The 11,378-nt window shown below is 51.0% G+C and overlaps 1 annotated feature.

Moving 5' to 3' along the window:
* Positions 5,920 to 6,348: a silencer, noted in NCBI's record as "fragment chr20:48995605-48996033 (GRCh37/hg19 assembly coordinates)". NCBI's record gives its function as "represses an EF-1alpha promoter that drives an FKBP-Casp9 reporter gene in an ReSE screen in phorbol 12-myristate 13-acetate-treated (for megakaryocytic differentiation) K562 erythroleukemia cells {active_cell/tissue: K562(+PMA)}" and the evidence as "EXISTENCE:reporter gene assay evidence [ECO:0000049][PMID:32094911]".

Raw genomic sequence — 11,378 nt, 5'->3', positions numbered from 1 at the left:
GGGCGGGTGTTTCAGGAATTAAATCAGAAAATATTGGGATGAGGCTTAGCCCTGTCCTTGGCGCACAGGAAGTACTCAGCCAGTGGTCATGATCAGCATCAGCTGTAGCATGAACGGACCATGGAGACAGGTGGGCTTGCTGACATCCAGGTTCCCAGATTGGGCAGCTGCATGGAGGGGGTTGTGTGCCATGGGAATAAAGGAGGAGGGAGTTTGAGGTGGGGCTGAGGCTGAGGGTGCTGAGGTCAAAGCAGGAGAAAGATCTGGGAGTTCTGTGAGATGTTCAGGTGGCCTGCCCAGTTGGCAACTGGACTCAGGAGAGAGCCCACTAATGGATTTGGGGGTCTTTAGTGCCAACGTGGTGACTGAAAACTAGAGAATGGTTGGGATGGCCCAGAGACCACACATAGAGACAGAAGAGAAGAGCTGGCATGGAACGCTTAGGGCCCCACAGTGTTTGAAGGGAGAGAGAAGAGGAACCCATATATGAGACCAAAACAAAGTCAGAGAGATCGGAGGAACATCAGCAAACAGTGATGATAAGGAAGACAGTCGCCCATGTGACTGTGGTTCCTCCCACAAAAGGGATGGAGTGTATTTGCCCAGCCTTGACTTCAGTTCGGCCATGGGACTTGCTTTTGCCAATAGCATGAGATGAAAGTGACAGTGTGTCATTTTGAGACCAAGCTTTAAGATCTCTTGAATGTGGCTGGGCGTGGTGGCTCATGCCTGTAATCCCAGCACTTTGGGAGGCTGAGGCAGCGGGTCACAAGTCAGGAGTTTGATACCAGCCTGGCCAACATAGTGAAACCCCAGCTCTACTAAAAATATAAAACAATTGGGCGGGGCGCAGTGGCTCACATCTGTAATCCCAGCACTTTGGGAGGCTGAGGCAGGCAGATAACGAGGTCAGGAGTTCGAGACCAGCCTGGCCAACGTGGAGAAACCCCATCTCTACTAAAAATACAAAAAATTAGCTGGGTGTGGTGATGCACACCTGTAATCCCAGCTACTCAGGAGGCTGAGGCAGGAGAATCGCTTGAACCCAGGAGGCAGAGGCTGCAGTGAGCAGAGATCCGCGCCATTGCACTCCAGCCTGGGTGACAGAGCAAGACTCCATCTCAAAAAAAAAAAAAAAGAAGGAAGGAAGGAAGGAAAGGAAAGAAAGAAAGAAAGAAAGAAAGAAAGAAAGAAAGAAAGAAAGAAAGAAAGAAAGAAAGGGAAAGAAAAAGAAAGAAAGAGAGACAAAATAATTAGCTGAGCATGATGGCACACACCTGTAATCCCAGCTACTCGGGAGGCTGAGGCAGGAGAATTGCTTGAACCCAGGAGGCGAAGGTTGCAGTGAGTTGAGATCACGCCACTGCACTCCAGCCTGGGTGACAGAGTGAGACTGCATCTCAAAAAAAGAAAAAAAGAGATCTCTTGCATGTTTCCACGTGGCTGTTGTGCCTGTGCCCCCACTATCAGCAGCCATGCCCAGAATGGCCCATTGGTCCCAGGAAAAGGGCGAGGGACCCGTGAGGCAGAGCAGAGCCAGCCCAGCCAAGACAGCAGAACTCCAGCTGAACAGGAAATATATTAATGGGTCCAGCCAAGGTCCACCAACCTGCAGCCAACTCCCTATTCAAGAGAATAACAGGTTGGGGGTGGTTTCTCAGGCAGCATTCTTGTAGGCATAGGTGACTGATCCACGCTGTGAGATGGAAATGAAATCGCAGTGAGCTGAACTGAAAAGAGGATGGAACAGAAGAAGTTCCGGTGAATAGAGGTGGAGCAGACATTGTCAACTGCCCAACCACAGCTCTTTTCAACTCTCCTCCCTAGGTGGGAGAACACTTTTTTTTGAGGGGGCATCAGCACATGCCTTCAAGGAAGGGACCCCCTCCTGAAACTGAGGGGATAAAACAAGTCTCAGGATGGAAGCCCACACACTGAGGATGGTAGAATGCAAACAGAAAGAGAACACAGGTTTTGGAAGATGTCTTTCAGCCATTGTATCAACAATTCTTGAACTACTGGGGCAGACACTGCTCAGTGCCTGCCCAATGCCCTCGCTCCTTTTCTTCCTTGTTGACAGAACCCTGACTTTATTGGGATGGCAATGAGCCAGCAAAACGCACTCACTCCCCTAGACTGCCTTGCAGCCAGGAATGGCCACGTGATCCAGCATGACCAATGATATGAAAGCCAAATTTTCCCAGTGGGGCCCCCAGAAGAGCTTTCTGAAAAGAGACAAACATGGTGGACACACTGCTCTGCCCTTGTCCCCTCTTCCAGCCTGTAATGTGGACATGAGCTGAGGGTGGAATGGTCATGCTGCAATTATGGCCAACCATGAGGACAGAAGCCACATGTTCGAGATGGCTAAGCAAAAACTGGGAAAGTGACCAGGTGCGGCGGCTCATGCCTGTAATCCCAGCACTTTGGGAGGCTGAGACGGGCAGATCACTTGAGGTCAGGAGTTCAAGACCAGCCTCGCCAACATGGCAAAACCACGTCTCTACCAAAAATACAAAACTTAGCCAGGCGTGGTGGCGGGCGCCTGTACTCTCAACTACTCGGGAGGCTGAGGCAGGAGAATTGCTTGAGCACAGGAGGCAGAGGTTGCAGTGAGCCAAGATCACACCATTGCCCTCCAGCCTGGGCGATAGAGTGAGACTCTGTCTCAAAACAATAACAACAACAACAACAAAACTGGGAAAGAACCTGAACCCCTGGTAGCACCCCTGAGTCACCCCATCAGCTCTGGATGCCTCTGGATTTCTTGTAGCAGGGGACAATATAAATAAATGCTGCCAGGGGTCAGGGTCTGTGTTCCTCGAAGCTGAATGCATGCCTGTCAGAGCCGCCATGCCATCTCTGGGTTTTCTGAATGTACAGGAAGACACACTTCCTTAATGATAAAGTCATTTGAGTTGAGTTTCCCTGCCCCTTGCAGTTGCATGTGTCCCAGGGAATACCTGGGTTTTGTAGTGAGCTGACTTCTAACAAACTGAGATATGCCTGATTCTAGACTTGAGTGAAATGGGGAAAAGGGAACACTTTTGCCATTCCTGGAACACCCGCTGGTGAGACAGAGGCCACATGATTTCCTGTGCACGTTTCTGCCACGATCGTTCTAGTCCTTAGCTAAGGACTCAGGGTCTACTTCCACTTTTGATATCTGTGTACTAATCACCTTCAGGTAGGTTTTTCTCCCTGGAGGAAGAAGCCAAGGTTCAAGGAGGAAAATTTACTATCCAAGGCACGCAGCCAAAGCTAGACTGAAACCCAGGTCAGCCTGATGCTGAGACGATCCTTTTTTTCTCCTTTCTGGGTTCCTGTCTCCTCATCGGTAGAATGAAGAGATTATTCAAGATCAAAGTTTTTCAAAAATTTCGTTTCAAAGCAGGCAAAACCCTTTTACAACTGAACCTTTACTTGTCCAACCTATAAAAAAAAGATGAAAGAGAAACATCTCTGAGTAAGGAGGGTCAGGCTGCCTGCAGCTCCACCCCAAGCCCCATGGCCTACAGGCACCTTGCTGGAATCCTGGGATTTGGGGGAACTTTCAGGAAACGCCAGCCTAGATTATCTCAGGGCCTTTCGAAAAGTCTCTGATTTTTCAAATATTGCTAAAATGTTGCACAGAAGACAGGCACGCACATGGCAAAACAAAAACAAAAACAGAAGCCACAAGTTTTCCTTTCAACAGTGCAAACGGACAGGCAAAATATCATCCTTCCTCCCATCTCTGACTTGCCATTTTTACCACGCGAAAGTCAGGAAACCTGAGCATCTACCAGCAAATAGGTAAACACATTCCTCACTCTCTCCTTAAGACACACACAGACACACACACACAGACACACAGAGACACACACACACAGACACACAGACACACACACACAGAGACACACACACAAACACACACACGCACACACAGACACACACACACACACACACACAGACACACACCCACACACACTTTGTAGCATTCTATAATCACTGTTTTTCATCTCATTTTTCTAGGCTAATATTACATCTTGGCTGTTGTTTCAAATCAGTACAGCGATATCTGCTTTATTCACTTCAGTCTCAGCACAGGATTGAAATACTCTTTAATTCATGCAGCTACGAAGGCCCCTAATCTTGGATATTCACATTGTTTGGAGGCTTTTGTTATGTCAAAGGATGCTGCAATGAAGGTCCTTATATAATGCATCTAGGTGTACATGTGTTGATTTAGATCCTTCCTTCCTTCCTTCCTCCCTCCCTCCCCTCCCTCCCTCCCTCCCTCCTTCCTTCCTTCCTTCCTTCCCTCCTTCCTCCCTCTTTCTCTCTCGTTCTTTTTCTTCTTGCTTATTTTCATTTTCAAATTTTTATTCCACGAACATGTACCATTTGTATAATAATTAAAAGGGTATGTTTACAGACCCAGGACTCAAACTTCAGCCAAGTTAGATAAACAGCCCCACGCATAAGCACAATTCAGAAAGAAAAAAATCCAGCCCCTGCTGCTGAGGCCTGTTTGGCCGGGAGGTGGCATCGCTGGAGAATCTCATGCCAAGATCCAGCCCCTGCCTGTTGCGATCATCCTGGAGAGCAGGGCCTGGGTTCCAGTCCTGGCTGAGCCACGAACTTCCTGGGTGACCCAGGTAAATCACTGTGCTAAGTATGGTACCTTCTCTGGGGAGGTTGATGTTATTATTCCCACTTCCCAGATGAAGAATATTAAAGACTGAGAAATGAAGCACTTGCTAATCTCTCCTACATCAATCAAGAAGTCATCCGGCCTAGAAATGCACCCTGAGTCTTCCCTACCTCCCCGGCAAATATCACCTCACCCACGAGGATTGCCAGCTCTGCCCTCACAATAGAGCTTCTCCCTTACCAAATCCTCAGCATGGCCTTCGAGGCCCTCTGTGGTCTGCACCCCCACCTCTCCAGCTTCACCCACGTCCCCATCCCTGCACTGCACTCTTCCCTGGCTCTCTCTGCACCAGAGCGCCAGGCTCATCCCACTGCAGGGCCTTTGCATTCGCTGCGCCCTTTGCTTAGATGCCTTTCCTTCCCAGCAGGCCCAGGACTAGGTTGGGGCAAGTGAGATCCCCAGGGTGAAGCTTTCAGGAGGCTCTCACTCTCAAATGCCAACCTGCGCGTGGCTGAGACTGAGAGCAAGCGCCTCCTTCTATCCTGCATGCGAGGCACCTCCTGAGCCCCTCCCTCATTAGGGCTGGCTTCCTGGATCCGGCTCTTCTCATGACTGGGGTCTTTGCTTAAATGACCCCTCCGCACAGAGAGTTCTCCCTGACTGTCTCAAACGGGCAGCCCTGCTGTTCTCAAACCTACCGCACTGTCTTATTTTCTTCATTGCCCTAATTTCAGAATTTGTGTTTTGTGCCCATCTCTGCCTACTAGATTAAAAGTTCTATGAGGGCAGCGACTGTGTCTGCCTCGTTCTCAGATATTTCCCCACTGCCCAGCACAGGGCCAGCACTCAGGAGACAGTCAATACCTGGAGTGAATGAATGAATGAATGAATGGGCTAGTCAGTGTCAGAGCTAAGGTTTGAACCCAGGTTTGCCTGCCTCCAAAGTCAGTCATCCCGGCCATGACCGAGAAAGGCGAGAGTGGGATCTGATCACGCAGGGGACCTGGGACTATGGCTGGTGTCCCTGCCTGTCCTGCTGGGAACCCTGCATCGCAAGGACAGGTTTTCTGAGGAAGCTTCTAGGAAGGGAGGGGTTTGGCCCCAGTCACCAGGGACTTCTCCGAGCCTCAGGCCTTCGGTGGGGCCAGCTGTGGCCCCCCTTCTCCGTTCTAGTTTTTATTTTTAGCGTCAAGTTTTTGGGCACAGTAGACTCTCCTTAGGAAAAGTCCAACGAGAGGACAAGGGAGGCGGTTTTGAAATCCGGTGGGAAAGTAGGTCAGGCTGGGTTGCTGGCCGGACTCCAGACGATAAGGCCTGTGTGGAAGTTTAATAACGTGAGCGGCCATATCCATGACATAATTCATAACTGAGAGGAAATAGCAATTAAGGGGCAATTGTGCAACGCGAGACAAGCCTCCTTCACAGCTCATAAAAGCAGGAGGAGGAAGAGACGACGCTGTCATTCCGGGGCCGCTGGGGGCCTGGCTGGCGGCCTGTGGGGATCTGGGGATAAGTCAGTCTGTACCTTGGGGGGTTTGCACTCATCTTTCCTCGCCCCCTCAGGACCCAGGGAGCTGGGAGGATGTAGAAGCAGACCGAGCGCCTACTACGTGCCTGGCTCAGGGTCGGGCTGGGGTACGAGTGTAAAAACGCCGGGTGTTTCGCTGCGGCTGGGAGGTTTGGATGCAGCTGCGCTATTTTGGCGTTGCCTTGTCAAAACGGAAAATTGCTTTGATTATCAAGTGAACTGTACCCCAGACACCCGGATCCTTAGTCCATCTCCCCTGCCCCCACCCTTCAGCGACTGTGGACTTTCAATTTCTCTTGTATTCGTTTTTCTGTGTGGTGGTTCCACAAGCACCATTTGCTTTTATCATTAGTTTTTAAAAAGCTACTAAATCCACACTGGCCCCTTCTCTGTTCCTTGAACTGGCCAAGTGTGTGCTGTCGCCGGCCCTTTGCGCTTGCCGTGGCCTCTGCCTGGGGGTTGCTTTGCTTTTCCGCTAGAGATCCATGTGGCTTGGCCCTCACCTCCTTCAGGTCTTCACCCAAACGCCTGCTTCCCTTGGAGCCCCAACTGACCAGTCTTTTTAAAACTGCAAACCCACCTGGCGTTCTGGATCTACTGTTCCTGCTTTATTTTTATCTACAGCACTTACCACCAATTAACCCTCTCCACAGGCTGTTCACTTATTTTGTCGTCTGCTTGTTCCCACCAGCGCCACCAGCAAAGGAATTTTTGTCCGTCTTGTTCTTGGCTGCATCCCCAGCACCAGAAACTGTGCCTGGGGCATAGTAGGTGCTCAGTGAATATTGGTGAATGAATGAATGAATGAATGTTTGCCATTGTAACTGACGGCCCATGAGATTATAATATGTTGACTTTGTTATTATAAAGCTCACCATTCACTGTTTGCTTTGGGGATGGCCTGAGAATGACTCAAGGTCAAGCCTTCTTGGATGCTGCTGGTGGGAGCAGAAGTTGGAGTGACCAGGGCTGGCTCAGCTGGCTTGGGTATTTGCAGCTGACACCTGTTCTGACTGGTCAGGGATCAACTTGGATATCACCGCTCCCCTCTGCCCTTTCTAAAGAGCTCCTTGGCCATTTCTGTCAAAATTTTAAACACATCCACCAGCTGACCCCACCTGTTCATAAGCATTTTCGTGCAAAGGAGCAAAGCTCTGTATGCAAAAGGGGTTTCTTGGCTGGGCACGGTGGCTCACACCTGTAATCCCAGCACTTTGGGAGGCCCAGGCGGGTGGATCACCTGAGTTCAGGAGTTCAAGACCAGCCTGGCCAACATGGTGAAACCCCGTCTCTACTAAAAAAAAAATACAAAAATTATCGGGGCGTGGTGTTGCGCGTGTGTAATCCCAGCTTCCCGGGAGGCTGAGGCAGGAGAATTGCTTGAAGCCGGGATGCAGAGGTTGCAGTGAGCCAAGGTCGCACCACTGTGCTCCAGCCTGGGCAACAGAGCAAGACTCCATCTCAAAAAATAAAATTTAAAAAAGGGGAGGGGTTCTTGCAGAACTCTTCACAACAGCGCATGTACATACACACACACACATACACACACTCTGACTCCCACAATCAAGGATACACACATCCCCTCCCCACACTCACTCACACACTCATGTAATTAACCATATACACTTATTTTGTCATTCACACACCCAGACGCACACGAGTACATGCTCAGCAATGTGCTGGCACACTCAGCCATACACGCTGCCCCCTGCCCGGCTCCCACACACGGCACACAGATGCCTACTCACTCACACATGCTTAGCCACACACGTGCACACACACACACCTGTGCACAAGCTCACTCACCTTCCTAAAATCTTACATTCACATGCCAGACACACAGTCACCTCCATACACACGTACCGCACACAGTCGACCCCACCCTCCGGCCACATCTGGACACAGACCCTGCCCCTCTTCCACAGGCCACCACCCCAGTGCGCTCATCTCCTGGCTGTGTTTTGAGGAGTGGGGACAGACGCCTGGTCAGTGCATGCCTTGACCCCAGCGCCCCTGGCCCTCTCCACTCTGACCTGCTTGATGTGGGCAAACGGGACCGGAGCCAGCTCTGAAAGCCCCGAGGTGCATAATGCCCACGTCAGCCCTGACTGTGCTGCCTCAGGGCACGTCTGCCCGGCTCATCTGTCCCTGGGCACCCGCCCACTTCCTCCCCACCAGTGGGTGGCCAGGCCTTGCTGACATCAGGTGGTTTCTGGGCCTACCTGGCACCCAGGAGAGAGGAAGGAAGCAATCTGTCCCAGCCACGAGAGCCAAGTGAGGAGCCCAGGACAGGCCCCGGGCCTTGGTGAGCCACAGCCCCTGCGGCTGCATCTGACAGGGCTGGCAGCTGGACTGCCCACCCCTTCACCTGCTGGGACACCATGGCCTGGGCCAGGCAGCAATTCAAGAAGGACTGGGCTCTCTGAGTTACCCCCGAGGTGGTGCGCTCCTCCCCTTCCCAACCCTCAGTATAACAGCCGCATGCACCAGGCACCACGCACTGCTCTGTCTCCATGAGTGACTCAATCAGCCCTCACACAGCCTGTGGGCTGGGTGCTGGTATCATCCTTGCTTTACAAATGCAGAAACTGAGGCACAGAGAGGTGACGGCGATGGCCCAGGAGCAGGACCTGATGCCCGGCACTCTGGCGCCAGGCCGCTGCGCTCAGTCACCCCCACCCTCTCCCAGCTGCTTCGCCTTATTTTGGTTTTGGGTTTTTTTTTCCTTTGGGGGTTTTTGCTTTGTTCTGTTTTGTTTCTGTGAGCCTCCAATATCCACGGCCCTGCACACCTCTTATCTCTAAGAATCTCCATGAATCCTGGCAACCACCTCACAAGCAGGGGCGCCACTATTAGCCCCATTTAACAGATGAGGAAACTGAGGCTTAAATGACCCACTCAGGGGCAGCCAGCAAGGACGAGGCAGAGCCAGAGTCAGGTTTGGACCTGGGTCTGAGGGCTCTTTCTACAGTGCCAGCTCATCTGCCTTATGTGGCAGAGACCTTTGATGGACCAGAGGTAGGGAAAAGTCACCCCAAACTTAGCTCTGGGTCTCTGCTGGCCTCAAAAGAGGGGGCTAAGGGGGCACTTGGTGCCATAGAACAGTCAGAGAAATAAGAACAAATTTATGATGATGACAACGACAAACTTTTTTGTTGCTTTTTAAAATAATTGGGGGCCGGGCACGGTGGCTCACGCCTGTAATCCCAGCAATTTGGGAGGCAGAAGCCAGAGGATCACTTGAGCCCAGGAGTTTGAGACCACCCTGGGCAACATAGTGAGACCCCATCTCTACAAAAAGTAGAAAAATTAGCTGGGCATGGTGATGTACGTCTGTGTTTCCAGCTACTCAGGAGGCTGAGGTGGGACGATCGCCTGAACCTGGGAAGGTCAAGGCTGCAGTGAGCTGTAATTGTGCCACTCCACTCCAGCCTGGGCGACACAGTGAGACTTTGTCTCAAAAAATAAAATTAAATAAAAATAAAAATTTTTAAAAGTGGGATATGATGAACATGCAATCAATGCACAGGTCTTACGGGTTTAGTCTGATGAATTCCAATGAATCAAACACCCAAAACAACATTCAAAACATTTCTAAAACGAAGTTCCCTATATCCCTTTCCAAACTCCCCATCCCTGGCCCAGCCGAGGGAGCCACTGATCTGCTTGCTGTCACCAAAGTTTAGTTGTGTTTCATCTAGAGTTTCAAAAACCAGGAGCGTTCTTTTTGGTCTCAACACAATGCCTGCAAGATGTATTGCATTGTTGCAAATATCACGCACTTGTTCCTTTTTGTGACTGAGTAGCGTTCCACTGCAGGAGGACATCTGGGTTTCCAGCTGTCATGAACATTTGTGCACACTGAGCACCCACTTGAGGCCTGTCACAGTTACAATCCAGTGTCCTCTGCAGGCACTGTGCATGTTGATCCTCACCACTGGTAGATATGGTTCCCACTTTGGGGTCAAAGGAAGTGTGAGTGCAGGGAAGTTGGGTGAGAAACCCAAAAACACATAGCTCACAGCAGCCAAGGCAAGATGTGAACCTTGAGCAAGGGACAGATGTGGACCCAAAGACATGGCAGGTGGCCCCAGGCCCTGGGGGCACACGTTTGGTGGAAAGTGAGCTGGAGCGCCTATTGAGTTTCTGGTCCTGTTCTAAGCACTTTGCATGGACCAACTCATTCAGTCCTCCCAATAACCTGTATTATCCCATTTCACAGCAGCAGAAACTGAGGCACAAATAAACATGAGTCACATCTCCAGGATCACACACCTAGTGAGGATAGAGCCAAATTGGACCCAGGTGGTCTGGCATCACAGTGCTTCCCTTAACCACATGGCTGTGCTGCCTCACTGGCCCCCCTTCTAATTTGCCCCCTAGTGGGGCAGGCTCAGGTCCTGTCTGCCTGGAGGCATTTCCACTCACGGTTGTCTCCCTTCCCAACTGGGAGCCCCTCAAGTCTGATCAGTTCAAGATCCAAGGGCCTGGTGCTGGGAGAGCAGGGAGGAGGCAGCAGGGTAGAAAGCCAAGAACAAGACTCTAGATTCAGCCTTGGATCCTGGCTGCGCTGTTTTCAGGCTATGTGACCTTGGACCAGTCACTTAACCTCTCTGAACCTCCACTCCCTGTAAAATTAAAGCTGATGGCAATAATAACGACCTCATGAGGATTGAGTGAGCTGGGTGTGGAAGTAACGGAGCTGACATTTACCTGCACTTTGCTACCTGCCCATGAACTCTCAGTCCTCAACCCAGGCTCACAGCAACCTTGCAAAGCAGATGCTGTTTAATCTCCACCTTACAGACAAAGAAACTGAGTCTCTAAATACTATCTCCAAGCTAAAAGCCTCTAACCATACATTTCCTGCCTTGAACTCAGTCTTGAATATCCAGCTACGACTCAATATGCCTAACAGGCATCTCGGACATCCCAGGTAAGAAACCAAACGCCTCCTCCAGCAGGATCCTACCTCTCCTGCATCGTCTTTGCCTCTGAAAGTGGCACCTCTCTCCTTCCAGGGGCTCAGGCCAAACACCTGAGTGTCCTCATTGACTCTTCTCTTTCTCTAGCCTCTGCCCCACCACCTCCCATCCACAGCCTGCATCCAGGATCCTACCACCCTCCAAGGTCCGCAGCCCCGCCCTGGCATGAGTGTGTGTGCTTGGATTGTTGCCATGGCTTCCGAACTACCTCCCCCATTCCATCATTGTC

This window comes from Homo sapiens, chromosome 20, assembly GCF_000001405.40.
Source record: "Homo sapiens chromosome 20, GRCh38.p14 Primary Assembly".
NCBI lineage: Eukaryota > Metazoa > Chordata > Mammalia > Primates > Hominidae > Homo > Homo sapiens.
Note: the sequence above shows the minus strand (reverse complement) of the source record. Positions and strands in the feature narration are given on the sequence as shown.